This window comes from Homo sapiens, chromosome 6 (assembly GCF_000001405.40).
Source record: "Homo sapiens chromosome 6, GRCh38.p14 Primary Assembly".
Classification (NCBI taxonomy): Eukaryota; Metazoa; Chordata; class Mammalia; order Primates; family Hominidae; genus Homo; species Homo sapiens.
In genome coordinates, this window is record NC_000006.12 from 6,540,896 (window position 1) to 6,566,012 (window position 25,117).

The 25,117-nt window shown below is 44.1% G+C and overlaps 1 long non-coding RNA gene across 1 annotated transcript in view, besides 3 other annotated features; it reads right to left on the bottom strand.

Moving 5' to 3' along the window:
* The window catches only part of LY86-AS1 (LY86 antisense RNA 1), a 276,362-nt gene that overhangs the window by 194,431 nt on the left and 56,814 nt on the right, over positions 1–25,117 (bottom strand). Inside the window, exon 3 of the long non-coding RNA NR_026970.1 lies at positions 23,400–23,493. This is a non-coding gene — a long non-coding RNA (LY86 antisense RNA 1). The remainder of the gene's footprint in view (positions 1–23,399; positions 23,494–25,117) is intronic.
* Positions 6,108–6,167: an enhancer, noted in NCBI's record as "active region_23919". NCBI's record gives its function as "activates an Ori minimal core promoter by ATAC-STARR-seq in GM12878 lymphoblastoid cells {active_cell/tissue: GM12878}" and the evidence as "EXISTENCE:reporter gene assay evidence [ECO:0000049][PMID:35858748]".
* Positions 6,248–6,297: an enhancer, noted in NCBI's record as "active region_23920". NCBI's record gives its function as "activates an Ori minimal core promoter by ATAC-STARR-seq in GM12878 lymphoblastoid cells {active_cell/tissue: GM12878}" and the evidence as "EXISTENCE:reporter gene assay evidence [ECO:0000049][PMID:35858748]".
* Positions 6,388–6,437: an enhancer, noted in NCBI's record as "active region_23921". NCBI's record gives its function as "activates an Ori minimal core promoter by ATAC-STARR-seq in GM12878 lymphoblastoid cells {active_cell/tissue: GM12878}" and the evidence as "EXISTENCE:reporter gene assay evidence [ECO:0000049][PMID:35858748]".

The window sequence follows — 25,117 nt, forward strand, 5'->3', positions numbered from 1 at the left end:
TTCTTTCATCATGTCTTCTGTACTCATGAGTATATCCCTTTTTTTATTCCTAATTGTTTACTTGTGCCATCTCTCATTTCCATAGAGTAAAGTCATTGGAGTTTTATCTGTATTGTTAGTGTATTTCAAAACACAACTTCTGACATTGTCAAATCTCTCTGGTGTATTTTAGTTTACTATTTCATTTATTTCTCTACTTTTCTTTGTTTTTTCATTCCTGCTGCTTTCTTGAGTTTATTCTGTTTTCTTTTTTCCCCTAACTTAAGTTGGCTCTGTAGTTCACTAATTCTTAATCCTTCTTCTTTTCTCATATATTCACTTTGATTTTCCTCAAATTACCTCTTTAACTTTATCCTCTGTTTCGGTAATTAGTATTCCCATTATAATTCTATGTTATGTGTCTCTGATAGTAATTCTTTGAAGTTTTTCTGGACTTGCTTTAAGGACTACTGCATGCCAATTTTTGCAAATGTTGCATGTACTTTTGAAAAGATGATGTGTTCCTTAGTTATTAGAGTTCTTGCTTTCTTGGGTGCTGGTAACTTTTGAGTTCATATGAGGTTGGATTTAAGCCATGGGAATTCGGAGGGGCTTGCAGAGAAATACTTTCCTCCAGAGATGATTTATGTTTGTTTCTGCAAGGTGCCTGGAGATCCTCAGCTGAACACTTGTCATGACATTTCAGCTCACTCTCAGGTTCTACTGTCACTTTAAGTTGCTAACACAGTCACAGGTCAGAAACTAACATATCCAGCCCCTGGCAGTAGCCAAAGCCCTTCGATTGAATATTAAATCTCCTCTCCTCCTGCCACCTGCAAAGAGAACTATGGGTACTACCCCTCTTCCCTCTTTCCCGTCTTCCCAGCATTCCCTTCCCACCACAGCTTGCCAATTGTAGTCTTTGACTCCTCCAGAATCAGGACCAGGGGAGAGGGGATTAGGGAAAAGGAGCCACACTACAGCAGGGCCATCTTTGTGACAAGTATGGCTGGCTGCTTCTCTCTCTCATAGACACCTTGTGGGTACTTCAAAGATTCTCCTGTTGGATTTTTCCAATTGCAATGCATGAGACGTGGGTGATGCTTTTTTTTTGTTTTTAATCAGAAATTTTTTTTTAGTGCAGTTTTAGGCTTGCAGCAAAATTGAGAAGGTACAGGCATAACTCTTAATTCAGGTAGACAAGGAGGTGACCGCCACATGCACAGCCCCACACATTTACAGCCCCCTATATCAACATCCCCTCCAGTGTGGTACATTCGTTACAATTGATGAGCCTACATTGACACATCATCACTCAAAGCCCACAGTTTACATTAGACCTCACTCTTGCTGTTATACATTCTATAAATTTTGATGAATGTATAATGAGATGTGTCCATCATTATAGTATCATACAGAGTGGTTTCAGTTCCCTCAAATCCTCTGTGCTCCACCCATTTATCCCTCCCTCCCCTCTAATCCCTGGCACCACTGATCTTTTTACTGTCTTCCTAGTTTTGCCTTTTCCAGAATGTCATACAATTGGAATCATACAGTGTGCATGAAGAAGCCTTTTCAGATTTGCCTCTTTCACTTGGTAATACACATTTAAGCTTCCTCCATATGTTTTCATTACTTGATAGCTCATTTCTTCTTCAGAGCTGAGTAATATTCCATTGTACGGGCGTACCACAGCTTTTTCATCCATTCACTCCCTGCAGGACATCTTGATTGCTTCCAAGCTTTGGCAATTATGAGTGAAACTGCTGTACACATCTGTGTGCCATTTTCTCTATGGACATGAGTTTTCACCTCCTTTGGGTAAATGTCAAGGAGTGTGAATGATGGCTCCTGTGGTAAGAGTATGTTTGGTTTTGTAAGAACTGCCCATTGTCTTCCAAAGTGGGTGACGGCCTTTCTCCCAATGGAACCAGCTGCTTCCCCTCAGCCCGCCTGCAGTTCTTCTTGCAGACTCTTAGGAGGAGTCCATTACCTCCTCCATCCTGGCCACTGGACAAGGTCTTAAAGTGCCTTCAGGCTGACTTTCCCCCCTACATGGACCACATCTGGCCCACGGAGCACCCCATAAATTCCTCAGGGAGTACAGTTACTTCCTTGATGCAATAGCACCTCCCCTGCGCTGCACCTTGCCAGCTGGTGCCTCCTCCCCTGTTCTTGCCTAGTAACTATGGATTGAATACAAAACATGGTGTGGCAAGGAATATGTTCCCTTCCTCCAGAAAGGCTTTCTTTGCTTGTGGCAGAAGACAGACTGCATGCAGGCCATCTGCACACGTCCCAGCAGAAACCGAGCCCATCAGAGCCTGTGTTGCTCTTGTCTGAAGGCCGCTCACCTGCTGGCCCTTACTCTTGCCACTTGGTCTCCTGGGTCTCAGCTGACAACCTGAGCTACTTACAGGGCGCCTGCTCCTTTGTGCCTGAACTGACAGTTACGTCCACCCAGCACCACCAGCGTGCCAGCATCTTGGCTTAGCTCTCCAGCCTCTTAGCAGCTGCTTCTGTTTGGTTTCTGGGCATTGCATTGTTCACACGCACAGCTTAGACATCAGGAAATGGTTTGAAGAGAAATCGCACGAAGACACAATTTTCCCTGGTTCCCTTTTCTCTGTGTTCATGGCCCATCAAGTCCTGACAACTTTGTATCCTGAATTCCAATTTTTTTGACTGTGGCAAGCTATGAGCTGCCACTTTCTGTTTGGGTTTCACACCCCATGACAGGACCTGAATCAGCGAATGCTCCCGGGGGACAAAAACAGCTGCAAAGAAAGAACTGACTTCAATGCACTTGTCTCCTTTCGAACATCTTGGCCCTTGGATTCCAGCAACCTTGGCTGCTCTTTGATGTTCTCAGACTACTCTATTACATTTTATTTGGTTTGGTTTTCACAGTTCTTCAGCAGGAGGGTTATTCTGGTACAAAATACTCCCTCACAGCCAGAAATGGAAATCCCCTTTAAGTTTTTTGAGGTTTTGTTTTTGTTTTTGTTTTTTTCAAAAAATGTACTAGGTGGCATTTTTCTTATATAATGAACATGTTTTCTCTTCGCTTTAAATGTGAAAGATAATTTGACATAGAACAAAAATGTTTGGTTCACAAACACTTTATCCTCAAAATTCTGTAGATGTGGTTCCATATTCTTTTTTTTTTCCCCCCCGGAGACAGAGTTTTGCTCTTGTTGCCCAGGCTGGAGTGCAATGGCGCCATCTCAGCTCACAGCAACCTGTGCCTTTCAGGTTCAAGCAATTCTCCTGCCTCAGCCTCGCAAGTAGCTAGGATTACAGGCATACACCAGCTAATTTTGTATTTTTATTTTTAGTAGAGACGGGGTTTCACCATGTTGGCCAGGCTGGTCTCGAACTCCTGACCTCAGGTGATCCTCCCAAAGTGCTGGGATTACAGGCATGAGCCACTGAGCCCAGCCAGCCATATTCTTTTTGCACTCGATGATTCAGAGGATAACTCCAATGTGGGCCCTACCTTTGTTCCTTTGTGAAAATTAAATTAAATTAATTGGACATTAATTAAATTAACGTTTCAAACAATACACTAAAAAGACTGAGATCATATACAAAACAATGTCTGCACGGATGTTCTGCAGAGGTGGCTGAGAAGGGATCCCACAGCTCCCAAGCCCTTGCCACAACCAGAGGGCAGGGGCCAGTGGGCAGCTGGGTGCAGGGATTATTTGTGAGGAGGGGTTTGGGAGGTGGTTTTAGAGTGTTTCTTCCAAGCCCTCCCTGGCTCTTCCACAAGTGTTGGGGTGAAGTGGTGCAGAGGGAGACATTGTGTCATGGAGCCCTGGGAAGCACTGAGATTAAGAAACCTCTCTCAGGAGGCTGAGATGGGCAGATCACGAGGTCAGGAGTTCGAGACCAGCCTGACCAACATGGTGAAACCCCGTCTCTACTAAAAATACAAAAATTAGCCAGGCGTGGTGGTGGGCACCTGTAATCCCAGCTACTCAGGAGGCAGGGGCAGAAGAATTGCTTGAACCCAGGAGGCGGAGGGGCAGAGGTTGCAGTGAGCCCAGATCGCACCATTGCACTCCAGCCTGGGTGACAGAGTGAGACTGTCTCAAAAAAAAAAAAAGAAGAAACCTCTCTCATTTAGCCTTCTATCTAACGATGTTTCTATACTGACCATGTTTAGAAATTAGCAAATAGCATATGGTCTCAACTAAATTAAACACCCACAGGAAAAAAATAGTTTAAGGAAACATACCAAAAGGATTATTATGTATTTAGAATCCGGGTAATATTTAATTTTTGTTTTCATATATTTCCTTATTTTCCAAAAATTGAGAAGAACATCTACTAGTTTCATAATGAAAAATCATATTTTCTAAATGCCTAAACACACAATGTTTAACATAACACTACGTACGCCGTACATGTATAACATACAATTAGGTAAAAATTATCCACATGGAAAACACCTGGATAGAACTCCCCTCCCTCCACACACACACACAAAAATCCCAGTGTTTTCCTCTGCATAGCGATTTCTCTATACATATCTGTAAATTTTCAAATTTTTATGTAATGGAGGAGGGAAGGGGAAACTTTAAAACACCAGTCCCAGAAATATGGCCCACCTGTGTGTGGGTGGTTAAGGAGCACACCTGGAACATTCACACCAGGTTCCCCTGGGAGCCCAGTGTCCTCCCCCACTCCAAAACCACGCCCGGCTACTTCTTGTATTTTTAGTAGAGATGAGGTCTCACCACCTTGGCCAGGCTGGTCTCCAGCTCCTGAGCTCAAATGATCCACCCGCCTCAGCCTCCCAAAGTGTTGGGATTACAGGCGTGAGCCACCGCACCCGGCGGTTCGTTTCATTTTCCTTCACTACCTTTCCTCGCTCACTCCACTGGCTCGTTCTTGGAGCCCCGACTCCTCTACACTGGGTCCCACTACACTGGCCCTTGGTACATACATTCCCACACTGTCAATCAACTCTTTCACCCCCACTCTGCGAGTCCCATCTCCCCAGGAGCCCGCGAGCTCCTGGGACAAGGATGTGACCATCCCCAAGCTCCTTCTCCAGGCTGAGCTGGGGGTGGGGGGGCTTTCCACAAATAAGATTAAACTGAACAGGCGCCCTTCCTCCCTCAGCCTTTCCTGGCCCTCATCCTTGAATTCCCAGCCCCCAGCTTTGCTTGGGAAATCAAAAGACGCCAAAAGGCAAAAAAACAGCTCACTGGGGAGAAAAACCCGAGTCTCCCTCCCAGGTCAGTAATTAGTGCGGCCGGAGGAAGAGCAGCCCCTGGCACAGTCGGGTCCTTAACAGCTCCCGCCCCAGAAGCTGCCTTCGGATGAACAGCCGGGTGAATCGCCATGAAAAATTAATCAGCCTCCGCCTGTCCGCGGCCTAGATGGGCGCAAAGCAGATGACCTGGCAGGAACCAGCCGCAGTGAAGCCACCGCAACCGCAGCCGCAGCCGCGGAGGGGAGGCCGTGCACCCGCCCGCCGGGAGAGCCGCGCGCCTGAGCCGGGCGCACGTGGGAAGTGGGCCACGAGACTGGAGTCCACCGAGATGGAGGCCCCGGCACTCGGGCTCAGGCCTTTGTGCTTAGCACGTACTGTTGGAATCCAGCACGCCCTGCTCCGGCGGGCGCCTCCGATCCTGAAGCGCGCACCTGGGAACTCACGCACCGCCCAGCCGCGAGGGGCTTGGCCTGGCTGAAAGCCACATTATTCTCGAAAACAACCGTGGGAAGCACACGCTGAGCTCCCGGGGCCCCTAGAGTATGCAAAGAGGCCGGCCCTGCGAGACTAAATAAGTCTCTCCCCCTAGGACCTAGTCCCTTGCCACCGGCTCCCGCGGCCACCGCGCAGCCAGAGTGCACCGTCCCTAGGGCTTTGGCGGTGGCCAGAGCCAGCAAGTGCGGCGGCCTGGAGCTGGGGTGGTGAGGGCGGATGGCAGGTTGGAGAAATGCAGCCGAGCCGCAGGTTTCTAGAGGCCTCTACAGCCCCTGCCATCTGGGCACTGCACAGACAGACGCTGCGTGAGACCTGGAGCTCGCCACCTCCATGCGGCGCTGCCAGCCACTCCGCTGCGGGTGCAGGAGCGTTCCATGTCGGGGACTGAGGGACCAGCGCCGGCTCCCCAGTTTCTCTGCATTGTGAAGTCATTTTCTTAAACTCGGGCTTTAAATAACCACCGATGACTTGCCTACGGGCCACGCAGATGCTATACTCTGACCTCGCTGGGATGTGCAGAAGTATTCTACTGTTTTGCTTTTGAATCAAATTAGGGAGTTTAGAGAAGTTTTAGATTCAGGTCAGGCTTTCCCAGGACCTCCAGGCTGTGGACTGTGCTCGAGCTTAGGCCAACAGCGCCATCTGGTGGTTATGATCCGCATGTACCCGCCAATGCCTGCAGACCGGAGAGAGTGATGTAATGGTCCACAATTGTTCCTGAAGCCAGCTCTGCAGCAGGCCAGATGTTATGGGTGTTTTATACCCCAGTTTTTCGTGTAAGTCACTGAGCGAGGGGGTTTCTTCATAGGACGAATGCTATATGCTGTAATGGAAATTCCCCTTTTTGCAATCTATTCTAGAGAGGGTGGATTTGAAGCTAGGGAGACATAGGACATAAAAAATCCAATCTCTTTGACTCCCAGCCTGACTACCTGACTTTACCAGGTCCCACCAAGACAGGATGTGAATGCATGCCTCTTGATTCCAAGAGGATGTGGAACTGTTTTACATTCCTATGCTGTCATGGCCTCCACCAGCTCATGCATTCCTTCAGGACTGAAAGCAGACTCCACACTGCCTGAAAAATTCCCGGGACACTGATCCTCACCAGAGTTGCCCCTCTGTCCCTCAGACGTCCTTTTATTCCCTTACTACCGCAGCCTGTGGCTGGCCTCCCGCCAGGGCGCTCCAGCACCTCGGACCCCTCAGCTGTCTCTCTACTCTTTGCCTCTTACCTTGACTTGCCCAGCACCCTGCAGTTGCTTTTCTGTCTTTACCCCATCTGGCCAAGACTAACTAGAGAATGTCACCAAACTATGCCAATTGGACCAGCTGCAAATTTAGGCTGTGGGACTTCAGATGAGCCCTCACTGCAACTCAGTTTTCAGCATTTGTTGATTCCTGCATTGCAGATATTCCAAATGTTTCCTTCCAATTTTTAGCTCTTGCCCTTACAGTATCTCACAATTTGAGAAACAACTTCTACTTTACAGAGTTGAAGTTGGCCTCATGTGAGTTTCCTCAATGTTGCCTCTTTTGCCCTTAAAATGTTTGTATCACCTTATTTTTTCATTCTACGTTACTTCAACAGGGAAAAATCCTTTGTCTTTCCAAACCAAATGCATCTGCTTTTATCTCTAACATAAAATATGAAGCCCAAACAAAGCAGGAAAAAAAAACTCAAAATAGAAGCAAAAGGAAACTTCAAGAAACTATCATTAACATTCTCAGAAGAATGAATAAAAAATATTGCACACATGAAAAAAGGATGCCACAAGAAAAGGAATATTCAGGAGGTGGAAAAATCCTATTAGAAATTAAAAAATATGATAGCAACAATGAAAGTTTCAAGAGAAGAGTTAGAATAGAAATTTAGTGAAGCCTTCCAGAAAGTACAATAAAAAGGCAAAAGGGCAATTTTTAGAAAGAAGGAAAACTACAACATTAGCCCAAGAGGCCAAGTCAGCTACGTAATTTGAGAGACTCAGTGAAAAATGATGATGTGGAGTTCTCTAAGAATTTTGGCTGGGCGTGGTGGCTCACACCTGTAATTCCAGCACTTTGGGAGGCCGAGGCGGATGGATCACAAGGTCAAGAGATCGAGACCATCCTGGCCAACATGATGAAACACCGTCTCTATTAAAAATACAAAAAATGAGCTGGGCGTGGTAGGATGCGCCTGTAGTCCCAGCTACTCCAGAGGCTGAGGCAGGCGATTCACTTGAACCCAGGAGGCAGAGGTTGCAGTGAGCTGAGATCGCACCACTGCACTCCAGTCTGGTGACAGAGGGAGACTCTATCTTGAAGAAGCTGGGGTCAGTGCAATGCACCTGTAATTCCAGCTACTTGGGAGACTGGCTTGAGGCGGGAGGATGGCTTAAGTCCAGGAGTTCAAGACCAGCCTGGGCAACATAGTGAGACCCTGTCTCTAAAAAAAAAAAAAAAAAAAAAAAAAATTAGCCGGGCATGGTGGCTCATGTCTGTAGTCTCAGCTACTGGGAAGGATTGTTTGAGCCCACGAGTTAAGGCTGCAGTGAACCTTTTCTAGTTCTTTATTAATTTTTTTTAGAAACAGGGTCTCACTCTGTTCAATTCTAGCTCATTGCAGCCTTGAACTCCTGGACTTCAACGATCCTACCACCTCAGCCTCCTGAATAACTGAGACTACAGGGACGTGTCACCACGCCCAGATAATTTTTTTAATTTTTATCTTGTAGAGAAAATGTCTCACTGTGTTGCCCAGCCTGGTCTCAAAACAATCCTCCTGCCTCAGCCTCCCAAAGTGCTGGCCTGAGCCACTGTGCCCAGCCCCTTCTCTAGTTCTAACTAGTGACCTTCTCTAGTGAGTCTCAGCCAGATGAGGTATAAGACATCATGTCACTGCACTCCAGCCTAGATGACAGAGCAAGACCCCGTAAAAAGTCTTTAAAAATTTCAGGGTGGCAACAGGAGAGCATTAAACCCAGCGGGGGGTTGCTGCAGTGGGCACAGTCCTTCGGTCCCTGCTTTATACCTTGTGATTCAGGGTTCTCAGCAACCCATGCCATGAGGAATCCTCCTCATCAGAGTTAAAGCCATAGGTCACACACTGCCTTGCAGGCTGTTTTAAAGTGGGTGGAAGGCGAGGATGCCCTGTCAGCCCTGAGGATTTAAAGCCATGTTCTACAGAAGCCTTACCACATGTGACTGTTCAGACCTAGATCTGGCTCATTTGATGCAGTTGTGCTGCCAGTGTAAACTACACATCAGATTTCACATAAAAAACAATGTCAAGTACGTCATTAATCATTGCATTATGTTGAATACATGTTGCAGTGATGTTTTGGATTTACTTGGTTAAATAACGTTTTATTAAAATTAAGTTTACCAGTTTCTTTTTGCTTTTTAAAAATGTGGCTACTAGAACATTTTTAAAATGTGGCTCCCGTTGTATTGTGATCCAAGAATCCTGGTCTAAAAGAGATTTATTATGGAACCAGTCACCAACCTAGTGATTTGTAGGTTTTATTTCTTGCTCTTCCATGACAAGGTGTCAGGGCAGCAGGCCTGGCCATGGCTGGATTCATCCATTTCCAAAGAAGAAAGCAGACACCACTGTAGGTATTTCAAAGCGGAAGAGATTTCATATAGGAAATCTGGTTACCAAATTCTTATTAAAACTGGAAAAACAAGGAAAATGTGGTGTTTCCAGAAATCCTGAACTGCAGAAAGCTGCTACCTCTTTTACAGGATCCAGTGCTCAGGTGAGCCCATACAACCCGGTCCCTGCACTGTTGCTCGGCAGCTCCAAGGCTTTGCAGTCATGTGCTGGCAACCCAGGCAGGAGCCTATAGCTGCTGTTGTTAGTGAAGACACACTGGCACGGTCGCAGGAGCCAACAGTCACCTTCTATGCTGAGCGGGAGTCACTGACATTTGCTAAGAGAGGGCCTACCAGAAAAATAATGGTTTCTATCTTCTAGACTTTCTAATTGCTGGGAATTCCTCCAGGTGGCGGACCTAACCGGAACCCAGGTGGGAAGAGGGTTTGTTAAATGCAGTTTGCAATCTTCCAGCCCTGATGGTAAAAAGGAGAGGGTAGTAGGGCAAGCCACAAAAGCCTTCTAAAGAATCTCTCCTAAAAGATGAAATGGGTAAATGGAGCTGAATGTACTGAGAGGAAAGCATCTGGGAAAATGGGAATGAATTATTGATAATGATACAAACTAAGAGAGCAATAAAAATGGAAAAAAGTCAATTATAAACTCTGGGAAAACAAAAGTCTTACAAATAAGGAAACAATCACAGTACACCACTTGGTTGTGTTGTGAACAATGTTTCTACGGTCATAATAATATTAATTCTGAATATTCGTTTACCAGCTATTAAGTATAATTTTATTGGGGTGATGGGTCAAGTAGGAGAGGGTATGTGCGGGAGGTAGGGCAAGTTGAGATCTAGGAAGTCAACACATTAGTTCACACCTAGCTGGGAGAGAATCAAGAAATCACAGCTTAGGTGTTTTTTTGCTTTTAATGTTTGCAAGTGTATCCTAAAGAAAACAGCTGACCAGTTAAAACAGGGAGTGAGGATCTGGAAGGAGGCAGGAGACAGGGCTCTACAGTTTGAGGTTTTAAAACGTAGGGAGTTATATAATTGCTTTTAATGATGTACATGTAAACCTATGCCTCACATTCAATAAATATAAACTTATATACAATACAAATGTTTCTACAAATTATTGTATATAAAATTCAAGAAACTTTTTACTTCATAAATGAGAAAAACTCTCACTCCCTAAAATCTTCCACTTCTCATAAAACATTGATTATATACCCAAATTTATAGTAATGAAAAGAACATGTCATTACTGTCAGGGTAAAGCAAAGCTTGACAGCACTGAGCGGTATGATTTATTTATGGAAGGAAGAGTTGACTGAGCAAGAAGCTAACTGCGATCATCTTTAGCCATTTTCTTTACCATAAATTTAAGTCCACTTATTCTTTGGGTGAGCAGTTGTGGTTACCAACACTGTTTTGAAAGGATACATGGATGGTGTCATTTCAATCTGTCAGCCATGCCACGATTGGTAGTTAGGTGACGCTGAAATCTGTGTTAACTCTTTGAAGCTAAATGGTATCTCAACAGAGAACTTACTGCTCACCAAATGCCTCACCTCCTGCAGTTGAGTAGGGCCATGTGACTTATCCTAGGCAACACACAGTGAGCGAAGTGATGTGTGTCCATTCTGAGCTAAAGCATTTTAGAGCCAGTGCCCAACTTTTCAGCTCTGTCCCCAGAGCCACGGTGATTGTTGAGACGAGAGTCTCCTATGTTGAGGAGAATCACGAGGTGGTGACAGCACCTTGAATTGTTGAGGTACCACATGGGGGAAGGTTACACTAGGAGTCACCCATCATTCACTGAACTTTGGGTGGTTGAAAAATAAATGGTTATTGCTTTAAAGCCTTGAGATTTGGGCATGTGTGTTACTAAAATATAAGGCATCCTATCCTGACACATTTCCTTGTGTTGTTTTGCTTATAGTGTGTCATTTTAGTATGTGCTATTTATGGAAATCCCTTTACTAATTCACCATCATAAACCCATCGCCAAGCATATGTAGGCCATGATTCTAATAAGAGCAATGGGTTTTGCTGAGTTCTACCCACTCTGTTACCCTGGGCTGTTAAGAACATTTACTTTAAGGCGATTGTGAACAGGGTGTCTTAGTTCAGGCTAGTTTAACAAAGAACCCTAAAGTAGTTGCCATGAACAACAGAAACTTATTTCTCACAGTTCTGGGGTGTGGAAGTCTGAAGTCAGGATGCCAGCATGGTTGGGTTCTGGGTAGGGCTCTCTTGTGGGTTGCAGATGACCAACTTCTCCTAGTTCCCTCACATAGCCAAAAGAGGGCGAGAGGTTTCCGGGGTTCCTTTTATAGGGACACTAATCCCATTCACGAAAGCTCCACCCTATTTACCTCCCAAAGGCCTCTCCTCCTAAGGCCATCATATTGGGGGTGAGGATTTCAACATACGGATTTCAAGCTGGGGGGATGCAAACAATCCATAACAGAGAGGGAGGTATCCTGCGTGGTCACGTAACAAATCTTTTCTCCGTGTGAAGTTAATTCTTCAAGGGAGGTGAACCCACAACGAAATAGCCATTATGTTTTCACTAACAGAAATAACTCACAGAGGAAACAGAATGAAAGGGGTTAGGCTGTTTAGACTGTGTCAGACCTTTCATTCAGTCAATCAATAATAATCGGAAGGCTGCTGAGGTCGATGTACTGTGCCAAGTACAGCATGAGACAGAAAATGAATGGGAAATACATTTAATTTCTCCTATGCAGGAAAGAACAGCCATGGGCAAGCAAAGCTAAACATATCTGCAAAAGTCACAGCTTAGGGCATGAACCCAGGAGGTGGAGCTTGCAGTGAGCTGAGATCGTGCCACTGCATTCCAGCCTGGGCGACAGAGCCAGACTCCGTCTCAAAAAAAAAAAAAAAAAAAGTCACAGCTTAACACATACACAATAATATTCTTCAAATGTCATTCTTGTGCTGAGGTCAAGGAAGAAAGGGGACTGGAGAAGTTACTAGGCAGGAGAAGTCATGGGAATGGTGTTCCAAGCTGGGCTTAGTAGGAGTCAAAGGACAAGTTTTAGTAGAAAGAGAAGAGAATGGACAGCATATGAAAATATGGACACACAGGACAGCAAAGGGAAGGGCCTGAAATATGCCAAAGGCAAGAATGGGCATGGATGGAGCAAGAGGAATTTAAAAAATGAAGGCCAGGCACAGTGGCTCATGCCTGTAATCCCAACAATTTGGGAGGCCGAGGTGGTTGGATCACCTGAGGTCAGGAGTTTGAGACCAGCCTGGCCAACATGGCAAAACTCCAACTGTACTAAAAATACAAAAGTTAGCCAGGCGTGGTGGTGCGCACCTGTAATCCCAGCTACTCAGGAGGGTGAGGCAGAGAATCGCTTGAACCCAGGAGGTGGAGGTTGCAGTGAGCCGAGATCGCACCACTGCACTCCAGCCTGGGTGACAGAGGAAGACTCTGTCTCAAAAAAAAAAAAACAAAACAAAAAACAAACCGCTGGGCGAGGTGGCTCACACCTGTAATCCCAGCACTTTGGGAGGCTGAGGCAGGTGGATCACTTGAGGCCAGGAATTCGAGACCAGCCTGACCAACATGGAGAAACCCTGTCTCTACTAAAAATACAGAAAAAATTTAACCGGGTGAGGCAGGAGAATCACTTGAACCCGGGAGGTGGAGGTTGCAGTGAGCTGAGATTGTGCCACTGCACTACAGCCTGGGTGACAGCGCAAGACTCTGTCTCAAAAATAAACAAACAAACAAACAAACTGCGGTAGGGAGAAATTAGGGAGGGGCCTTGAAGTCCAGATGAGAACCATTTAAGAGAATTGTGTAGAGCTTTATATAAAATGATCTGGGAAAGAGAAAGGTTATAGAGGTGGAGAAAGAAGGCCAGACAGGATTTAAGGCAACAATTCAACAATGAAATTAAGAATGGGGGTAGTGGCTTGGGGTTTGGAAGAGCAGGAGAAAGTCCAAAGGAAAACTCAAAAGGATCTGAAGACGGATGAGAGAGGAGGGTTTGAGAAAAGAGTGGAGACATGACTGACCCCACATTTTCAAGCATGGAGAAGTTGAAAGGGGGCTGCTTTGTGGTAACTAAGAAGCTTCCAAATTCAACAATATATTTCCCTATAGTCGCAGGGAAAGGAACAAATTAGACGCAAAGAAGACATAGAAAAGAACAAGTAGAGAGGACAATGACCCTAATCTCTTAGCTTTTTGAGGCCAATGATCACATTTACTTATGTTAGTATCCTCTTCATGTGCCTAATATGAGGATGAGTACCTGGAACCAACTAAAAATAGTTACTGAGGAAGAGAATAGGTTAACTCGAAATGATTTCGCTTTCCTGTACAACAGAGATGTTAGCGTGATCCAAAAACCTTCCACTACACACTGCAGAGGTTGAGGTCTACATTCCAGAATCACTGAAGGATTTCTCAGAAGAAAGCTAAGTGGGGAAGGAACCAGGTTCACTGATATTGAGTTCATAATAATAACCTTGGGCATCAGAGAGAAATTGTGATTCATGGTTAAATCGTCTCCAATATAATTAACTGGATACAGGTCTGAGTCCTGGACAACAGGGATGTAAATAAGACTGAAAGAGAGCTGCATCATCACTACCACTGTGGAGCAGAAGTGTAGACAGTGACATCCATGAAACTCTGGCGGCTCAAGTTTTGGGTTGGCCACCATGGAGGCAGAAAGAGCTACTGCACACAGCAGTGCAAGGCTGGGTTGCAATGTGCTGGCTGCTGGGAAGCACAGCATGGAGGCTGCAGCCCATCGTGGCAGTGTACAGATTATTGAAATAATTTTATTCATAAGCACATTTGAAAATGCTCCCACCACCTCCCAGAAGTACTTGAAGCAGTGGAAAATATTGCAGTGAGCTGAGGTCTGAGCGTCAATAAACCAAGACCTGTCAGACTCAGCTGAGATACAATCAGGGCCTTTGCCCAAAGTTCATGAGACTGTGAAGGACAGCACCCAAGCTGGTGCAAATTGCAAATATTTGAGGGTGCATTCCAGCCAAGAGGGGCCATAGCTGATTGGGGAAAGTGGAAAGGGTACAGCAGTAGCCATCCAAAGCTTCTGATCAATAAAATGTAACCCGTATGTTATGTACCAGTTTCTTGCTGTAATAAAAAGAAATCTGCAAGAGGATGGTAAACAATTAACTGTACCACACAGAAACTGTTGTAGAGACATCCGCCCCCTGCCCAAACCTGCCTTGCCCTTTCCTGCCTGTGCCTGCTCGCTGCCCAATCTCTGCATCCTCTGTAGCAGCAGAGCCTCTATTTTGTTCTGGTGGTAATGCGCGCATCTAGTCCTTTCAGCTTGTGTGGGTGGGGAAGACCACGCAGCACATCTCTGCGAGAAGTCTCCAGGTGATGCTTCTCTCTACAGAGGCTTTCTAAAAGGGGGCAGACTCCACTGGTCTGTGCCTTGGCCCGTTGTGCCCTGCTTCTTCTAGCATGGAATGGAGGCTCCCCTGCTAGGCTGGGGTTACTGGCCCTTTTGTGAACATGAGGCTATACACTTTTAGGACGAAAGCCTCATACCTAGGAGGGATGAGCAGAAAGGTAAAAGGAGACTAGTGCCCCGATGGCATCATGGAGCCACTATACCAATCCTGGGTTTCCTACCTCAAGATGCTGGCTTATGAGAGAAAAATAATCCTCCAATCAGGATAAGCCACCATGCCGGGCTTGTCACTTGTAGCCAATGCTGTTACTGCCTTTGCACCTTTGCTCAAGACATTACCCATCTGAATGGCTCTTTTCTCTCTTCTCAGCTTAACAAATTTGTCTCCCACTACAAAACATGCCTCTCTACTCCCCTAAATCTAGAGTTGACTCTTTTTTTGTACATGACCCCCCTGCAACTAACACTGTAAGATTCTGGTGACAGAGACCAAGGCTCATGCTCTTTAAGCTTCCACACAATCCTTGCTCTTGGTAGAACATGGTTCCCACTGAGTGCTTCCCTGAAAAATGTAATTCCACAATACTTTTGCATTAAAGTTCATGAACTATTTGGTCTGAGCTTCAAACTTATAGTGCACAAATCATGATTCATTCAGCAGAATAACTCCAGACTCCAGCCCACACACGGACGCAGCCGGCTACTCCCATGCTGTTAGAAAACACCAGTTCTGGGGGTTCCTCTCTGTGAGCACTCCTAACTGTTCCTGAGGAAACTTTGAGTGACTCATAGTCTCCCTTCTAACATCGCCACCTCTCTGTGCTCTGGCAGGTCCATCTGGCTTTCTATGGCCAAAATAGCATCCTGGGATGACTGTCCCAGAATGTACCAAAATAGGTAAAGGGAGAATTGTGCCTTCAGAGGCATTTGGATGATTGTCCGAAACAGAAAATAATAAGAGTTCTTTTCTGGGCCAGATCCTTTATTTGCCCTATGTACTAAAGCAGGTTTCCCCCCTCCATCCCATCTGCCCCTTCCTCGGTCCTTTGCAATGCATTATTTCCAACAACAGTAAGCTCTGCCATATGGCCAATAAATATATTGCTCAAGAACGTCAGTGTATTTCATCAGATGTTCTTCTCCAAAGTTAGAAGGATTGCCACAGTGAACTGGGTGAAGTAGATAGCTCTAATCTGCAACAGCACTATTTCATTTATTCTGATTTCTACCATGTTGCCTAACTGTGGAAAATTATCCCAGTACCCCAGGGTCTGTGTGTGCCCAGTCAGACCAGTGCTGCAGCAGTTCACACAGATCCCAGGTGCTGTGGACGAACTAAGCCAAAGAAACCTGCCCTTTGAATCACCCTGGTTGCTCCAGCCTACTACCTCTACATGTGGGCTCAAGTGGGAGCTGCCATGAAAAGGTCTCTCAATTTCTCCTTATCTGGCTCTCCCACAGGTGGCTCTAATTCCAGGAGCCTTGTGGGAAGCTGCAGACCAGCCAGGGAGCCACTAGAGGGCCCCCTACTAACATCTGCCTGAGCCAGGGGGCTCAGTCCCTCATGTTTTCTGGTATATTCCACACAACTTATCAAACTGCTTACTTTCTTCCATAAAGATTTGGAATACAATAACGATGTCACAGATGTCAAGCGAGGAGAAACTGTTTTTCGTTCATTAACTTCTGGAAAGAAAAGAAATTTAACTTTGGCCAGGAGTGCCCGACTGGGATCGGCGGCACGGCCACAGGGGCACCCTGTGGCTAAACCCCTCATGGAAGGCACTGGAAAGATCCTCTACCCCCAAACGCAGGGTTTAGGGCATCGTCTGTCCTTGCAGAAGCAGGAATCTTGTTAGAGTTACCCAAATACAACATTTCAGTAGGAAAGGCTGGGTGTTCTTGCTTTTTAATTAAAAATTTTATTGAGATAATTGTAGATCCACATACGTTTATAACAAAGAAATCAATAGAGAGTGTTACTAATCAATACTTACTTGCTTTACGGATTATTAGTCAATAACCATAAGAAAGAAATCAATAGAGATTGTTACTAATCAATACTTACTTGCTTTATGGATTATTAGTCAATAACCAAGAGTCTCATATGCGCTTTATGCAGCTTCCTCCAAAGTAACATTTTTCAAAACTATGACAACCAAGATACAATCTACTAATCAGATTTAGATTTCCCTAGTTTTACTGTTACTCGTGTGTGTGGGGGGTATGTATAGTTCCATACATTTTTATCATCTGTGGATTCACGCATCTGGCACCAGTCAGGATACTGAACACTTCCACCTCCACAAGGATCCCCGAAGCTGCCCTTTCATAACCACAACCCCTCCCTCCCACGTCTTCACCCTAACCCAAGCCTCTGGCACACACCAATTTCTCCTCCACTTCTAAAATTTCATCATTTCAAAACTATTATAAAAATGGCATAATATAGGCTGTTACTTTTCAGGATTACCTTTTTACTCCCCATAACTCCCTGCAGAGTCATCCAAGTTCGTACAAGTTGATTCATGCATCGATAATTCATTCCTTTGTGCTTGCATGCACTTCAGCGCATTTAACCATTCACCTGTCAAAGTCTATCTGGGCTGATTCAAGATTTGACGGTTAAGCAAAACTGCTATTGAACATTTGGGTGATGTTTTTAGCACTGATGGCGAATGACGTTGAACATGTCCGTATCCTTACTTTCTAAGTGTATTTTCTCTGTGAAATATCTCTTCATGTCTGTGCACATTTTCTAACTAAATTGATGTTTCACTGTTGAGTTTTGTGAGTTCTTTATGTTTGGATACTAACACTTCGTTAGATATGTGGTTTGCAAATTTTTTGTCTACAGCTTGTCTTTTTCATCCTCTTCACATGGACTTTCATAGAGCAAGTTTTCTGTTTTGATGAGGTCTAGTGTGTCAATTTTTCCATCCATGGATTGTGCTTGTGGTAGCAAGCTCAAGTACTGAAAATTTTATCTGATTTTTTTTCTGAAAATTTTGTAGTTTTACATTTACCTCTAAGACCATGATCCATTGTGAGAATGTTCACATAAGGTGTGAGCCTTAGGTCAAAGTTTATTTTTATCTACTGATGTCCAATTGCTCCAGCACCATTTACTGAAAAGCTATCCTTTCTTCAGTAAATTGCTCTTGTACCTTTGTCAAAAACCACTTGGGCAGATTTGTGTGGATCTATTTCCAGGTTTTCTGTCCTGCTCCTTTAATCAATATGTCTGTTCTTCCACCAATAGCACAGTCGTAATTACCATAGCTATACAGTAACACTATCAGACAGACTGAGTCCTCCTCTGTATTGTTGTCAAGATTGTTTTACCTATTCTGGAGTCTGTTTTTCCATACGCATTTTAGAATAAGCTTGTTTGTTTCTATTAAAAAATTATCTTGCTGAATTTGACAGGGATTCTATTAAAACTACAGATCAATTTAGGTAGAATTAACATCTTACCATGCTTAACTTTTCAGTCCATGAACTTCTTTGCTTTTTTTCATCAGTGTGTTCTATTTTTCAGCCTACAGATCCTGTATTTTGTTACATTTATACCTAGCATTTCATTTTCTTCAGAACGATTGTAAATGGTATTGCTTTTAAGTTCAGTTTGTAAGTGTTCATTGCTAGTATATAGAAAATTGATTAATTTTTGTGTTATCTTCCATCCCATGGCCTGAACTCACTTATTCATCTTAGGAGTTTGGTTCTTGTAGATTCCCTGAGATTTTCTACATAGACAATTATGCCAGCTGCAATTAAAGACAGTTTCATCTTTTCCATTTTTACTCCTTATCCTTCATTTTCTTATCTCATTTCAGTGGCTAGAACTCTCACCATTATGTTGAATAAGATAAATAAAAGCAGACACTCGACCTTTTCCTGATCTTAGAAAGTATGATGTTAGCCATAGGTTTTTCATAGATTCTCTTTATCAAGTTGAAATACTTCAACTTTATTCCTAACTTGCTAAGAGTTTTTATCAACTTGCTAAGAGCTGGGATTTGTCAAATGCTTTTTCTATATGAATTGATATGATTGTATGATTTTTGATTATAATAGAATAGATTACATTGATTGACTCTCAAATATTGAAACAGCTTCACACACCTGAAATGAACCCCACCTTGGTCATGGCATTTAATTCCTTTTATACATCATTGGGTTCAGTTTCCTAATACTTTGTTGAGGATTTTCACATCTAAGTTTATGAGAAATATTGCTTTGTAGTTTCTTTTTGTATTGACTGTCTGGTTTGGGTATCAGTTAATACTGGCCTCAAAAGATGAGTTGGGAAGTATTCCCTTCTCTTCTGTTTTCTGGAAGAGATTATGTAAAATAGGTGTTAATTCTTTAGTTGGTTTGTAAAGTTCTTCAGTGTAGAGAAAATAGCATAGCAGATCTGGAACTGCCGTCCTTACAAAGGGTCTCTTGCAAGGTTTACCCTTGGCTGGTATGAGAGAATGTGGCTGGAAAGGTAGTTCCCTATGGTGATGTAACACTTTCCCTAAATGATAAGAGTGACTCATTGTACCTAGACTGCTAGCATAATGTGATTATGCTGAACTACTGCTTTCCTTGTGAGTGTCTGGAGTGTCAGTGATGTCAGTCAGTCACACAGGCACTACGGGCCCTACATGCCCAATGGTTAGGAAAAACCCTCGAACCCAAGGCTCAGGTGAGCTTCCCTGACAGGCAACTCTTCACACATACTGGTGCAGCTCGTTGCTGGAGAAACTCAGAATGTCCTGTTTGACTCCACTGGGAGGTGACTCAAACACCTGCACCTTGTGTCTCCCAGACTTTGTCCAGCGTGCCTTTCCCTTTGCCAACCCCACCCTGTATCTTTGCACCGTTAATAAATCTCAGACATGCATGAGGCAACATGCAGGACCCTGGGAGCCCTCCTAGTGAATCACTGAACCTGGTGATTGTCTTGGGGACCCCCCACAGATGCAGTGAAACTATCTGGGCCCAGACATTTCTTTTTCAGGATGATTTAATTACAAATTCAATTAGAAGTTGTTAATGGTTATAGGGATATTCGGATTATTTACAGTGTTTCCTCTTTATCTGCAGGGGATGCGTTCCAAGTCCCCCAGTGGATGTCTGAAACCTAGGATAGTACTGAACCCTATCTACCTATCTATACTATGCATGAGTTTCTTTTTCATTCTTCACCATTTCAAGGATAGAAGATTCATTTTTACTGTAGCAGCCCCAGTATATTATTTTTTCCCTTTATTAAGTTGAGAACTTTCATTTTTTAATTTCATTTTTAAAGGAAGCACTTTATGGCTTCTCTTTGGCATATTCAAATCACCACTGTTGCACTCTGGGGCCATTATTAAGTAAAATAAGGGTAACTGGAACACAAGTACTATAATAACACGAAAGTCAATCTGAGAAAACAGCTACTAAATGACCAACAGGTGGTGGTGCAACTCATCAAGACACCGGACAAAGGGAGAATTCACATCCTGGATGCAAAGAGCAGGACAGTAAGAGATTTCATCATGCTACTCAGAATGACACACAATCTAAATTTTATAGATTGTTTATTTCCGCAGTTTTCCATTTAACATTTTTGAGCCACAGTTGACTGAAACAGCAGAAAACAAAACCACAGATAAGGAGTGACTACTGTATTTTACCTTGGTTGAGTTTTGGTAGTTTGTCATTTTCAAGGAAATGATCTATTTCTTCCAAGTTCTCAAATTGATGGGCATATAATTATTAATAGTATTCCCTTGTTATCTTTTCAATATCTGCAGGATCTGTTGGGATATCCTCTGTTTCATTCCAAATTTGGTGATTGGTGCCTTCATTCTTTTTATTTTTGTCAACTTTCATGGAGATTTTTTTCTTTTTTTTTTCTTTTTTTTTTTTGAGACAAAATCTCACTCTGTTGCCCAGGCTGGAGTGCAGTGGCGCAATCTCTGCTCACTGCAACCTCCGCCTCCCAGGTTCAAGTGATTGTCCTTCCTCAGCCTCCCAAGTAGCTGGGACTACAGGAGCCTGCCACCATGCTCGGCTAATTTTTTGTATTTTTAGTAGAGATGGGGTTTCACCGTGTTAGCCAGGATGGTCTCGATCATAGATATTTTTCAACGTCATTGATTTTTTTCAAAAAACCAGCTCTTTATTTCATAATTTCCCCATTGTTTTCCTATTTTCCATTTCATTGATTTCTGCCCTTATCTTTATTTCCTTTGTTATACTTGCTTTGGGTTTATTTTGCTATTCTTTTTCTAATTTCTTGAAGTAGGAATGTAGGTTATTCATTTGAGAACTTTCCTCATTTATAATGTAAACATTTAGGGCTATAATTTCTCACTTAGCCCTGCTTTAACTTCATCTCAGGTGTTCTTGATATCTGTTTTCATTTTTCTTCAGTTCTATAGGTTTTTGTTAATTTCTTTTGAGACATTCTCTTTGACCTTAGGATTTAGAAGTATGTTGTTTAATTTCCACCGATCTAGAGATCTTCCTGTTATCATTCTGTTATTGATTTCTACCTCGATTCCATTATGATCAGAGAATATGCTCTGTATAATTTCAACTCTTTTAAATGTTATGTTTATTTAGGTTTATTTTATAGCCTAGGATATGCTCTGTATTAGCCCATTTTCACACTGCTATAAAGAAATACCTGAGACTGGGTAATTTATGAAGAGAGGTTTAATTGACCCACAGGCTTAACAGAAAGCATGGCTGGAAGGCCTCAGGAAACTTAACATTAAGGCAGAAGGTGAAGGGGAAGTAAGGACCTCCTTCACATGGTGGCAGGATGGAGAAAGAGCAAAGGGAGACATGTCACACACTTTCAGACAACCAGATCTTGCAAGAACTCACTCACTATCAAGAGAACAGCAAGGGGGAAATCCACCCCCATGATTCAATCACGTCCCACCAGGCCCCTCCCACAACATGTGAGGATTACAATTTGAGATGAGATTTGGGTGGGGACATAGAGCCGAACCATATCATTCCACCCTTGGCCTCTCCCAAATCTCATGTTCTTCTCACATTTCAAAACCAATCATGCCTTCCCAACAGTCCCCCAAAGTCTTAACTCATCCCAGCATTAACTCAAAATCCACAGTCCAAAGTCTCATCTGAGACAAGGTAAGTCCCTTCCACATGAGCCTGTAAAATCAAAAACAAGTTAGTTACTTTCAAGATACAATGGGGATACAGGCATTGGGTAAATGCTCCCATTGCAGAGAGAGAAATGAGCCAGAACAAAGGGGCTACAGGCCCCATGCAAGTCCAAAACCCAGCAGGGCAGTCATTAAATCTTAAAGCTCCAAAATAATCACCTTTGACTCCATGTCTCACATCCAGGTCACACTGATGAAAGGGATGGGATTCCAAAGCCTTGGGCAGCTCCACCTCTGTGGCTCTGCAGGGAACAGCCACCGTGGCTGCTTTCATGGGCTAGCATTGAGTGCCTACATCTTTCCTAGGTGTACAGTGAAAGCTGTTAGCGGATCTACCATTCTGGGGTCTGGAGGACAGTGGCCCCCTTCTCACAGCTCCACTAGGCAGTGTCCCAATGGAGACTGTGTGTGTGGGTTCCAACCCCACATTTCCCCTCTGCACTGCCCTAGTAGAGGTTCTCCATGAGGGTTCTGCCCCTGCAGCAAACTAATACTTGGACATCCAGTGTTTCCATACGTCCTCTGAAATCTAGGTAGAGGTTCCCAAGCCTCAACCCTTGCCTTCTGAGCACCCACAAGCCTGACACTACATGGAAGCCACCAAGGCTTGAGGCTTGCACCCTCTGAAGCAATGGCCCAAACTGCACCTTGGCACTTTTTAGCCATGGCTGGAGCTGGAGTGGCTGGGACACAGGGTGCCATGTCCCAAGGCTGCACAGAGCAGAGGGGCCCTGAACCTGGCCCAGGAAACCATTTTCCCTTCCTAGGCCTCCAGGCCTGTGATGGGGGGGGCTGAAGCTAAGGTCGTTGACACGCCCTGGAGACATTTTCCCCATTGTCTCAGCTATTAACATTTGGCTCCTCTTTACTTACGCAAATCTCTGCAGCTGGCTTGAATTCTCCTCAGAAATATGTTTTTTTTTCTTTTGTACCACATGGTCAGGCTGCAAAGTTTCCAAACTTTTATATTCAGCTTCCCTTTTTAATGTAAGTTCCAATTTCAGAACATCTCTTTATGAATACATATGACTATACACTGTTAGAAGCAGCCAGATCACATCTTGAACACTTTACTGCCTAGAAATTTCTTTCCACAGATCCCTAGAGCAGGGGCACCATGCCACCAGTCTCTTTGCTAAAGCATAGCAAGAGTGACCTTTGCTCCAATTCCCAGTAAGTTCCTCATTTCCATCTGAGACCACCTCAGCCTGGACTTCACTATTCATCACTATCAGTATTTTGGTCAAAACCATTGAACAAGTCTCTAGGAAGTTCCAAACTTCCCCTCATCTTCCTATCTTCTGAGCCCTCCAAATTGTTGTAACCTCTGCCCATTACCCAAATTCCAAAATTGCTTCTACATCTTCAGGTATCTTTATAGGAATGCCCCACCTCTCTGGTACCAATTTTCTGTATTAGTCCATTTTCACACTGCTATAAAGAGCTACCTGAAACTGGGTAATTTATGAAGAAAAGGGTTTGATTGACTCACAGTTTCACAGGCTTAACAGGAAGCACGGCTGGGAGGCGTCAGGAAACTTAGAATCATGGCAGAAGGTGAAGGGGAAGCAAGGACCTTCTTCACACTGTCGCAGGAGAGAGAGAGAAAAGGGGGATGTGCCACACACTTTCAAACAACCGGATCTCATGAGAACTCACTCAGTATCACAAAAACAGCAGGGGGAAATCCACCCCCATGATTCAATCACGTCCCACCTGGTTCCTCCCCTGATAGGTGGGGATTACAACTCGAGATGAGATTTGGGTGGGGACTCAGAACCAAACCATATTATGCTCTATCCTGGTAAGCATTCTATGGGAGTTTTCAAAGGCGTGTGCTCTGCAGTTGTTGGGTGGGTGTTCTATGTATGTCAATCAATGCAGTTGGTTGATAGCACCATTCAGATGTTCTATATCCTTGTTGATCTTCTGCCTAGTAGTCCTGTCAGTTGCTGAGAAGGGGATGTTCAAAGTTGTGAACTTCAATAACTATTATTATACTACCTCACCATTTACAAATGGGGAGACTGAGGGTTAGGTAGTTCAGTTAAAGCCTTTAAGAGGCAAGGCTGGGCTTTAAAACCAGGTCTTCCTGTCCCTAAAATCCACACCTCTTCTACTGCAGTTCCCACCACCTATGAATGGGTCCAGATTCCTGTCTTTGAAATCAGGGGGGATACTTTCTGGAAATGCAGCTAAATTGGCTCCTTGCTCAGATTTGAGCAGCAGTGAAGCCCCTGGGCTAAAGCCAGGGTAGGTGTTGACCAAGGGCCCCACGCATGAGCAAACCCTAAACTTTCCTGCCACGACCAGGGACGAGGAGACCTATCTGAGTAGTACTAACCAGGGGTCCTCTTCTGCCTCATCTCTTTGGAGTCTCATACTGGGCCCAGCCTGGATATAGCCTGGGATTCTCCTTCCTTCCCCCAGCCAGCTTTCTCCACCTGTTGTCCTTAACTGTATTCCCACACTTTCGGTGCAAGCAAACTACAGGTAAATAAATGTGGCTGGAATTGGAAGACAGTCAAAATGGAATGAGATTGTCAAGAAGATATGGCTTGATTAGTGTAAATACAGCCTAGTGGGGTGGGGGGAAAGCAGAAACCTGACACTGTTTTTTATCATTAGATGCTGAGAAAGGCTGGAATACACTAGACAAATCCCCCTGCGATCTCATCACCACTAAGCCCAACCTGAGACATTTATTAAAATAAAATTTTAAAATTCTTTTACATCTCTTTCTTCCTGGAGGGAAAAAAATCGTGCATAGCCGGTACCCCCTATAATCATGGCTATAATGAATAAGTGAAACACTCTTGCACACTGGAGCAATGGCTGCCCCTTGGCTTTTTCACCTTGGGCTTCAGGCCAAAGACTGCAGGCAAGAGAGGTACTGACACAGCGTAAAACCCAAGGCCACCTGTTGTCAGCTCCTCTGCTGTATCCTTATCTACCATGTCCTGTGAGTATCCACTTTTGTGGGAACTGTTATATTTTTAAAGTCAACTCTACCAAGTTTGGCTATAAATCTTTTATGGAAATTTAAAGATGAAAAACATATTTCTTCTTCATTGGTCTTATTTGTCTAATAAATGCCTTAGGGACTCACTGCTCAATCAATGTTTCCAATCTCCTGAAATTAAATTATCTTCCTATTGTGAGCTAGACAAAAATGATTTAAGTAGGTGGAATAATTTGGTTCTTATCTTG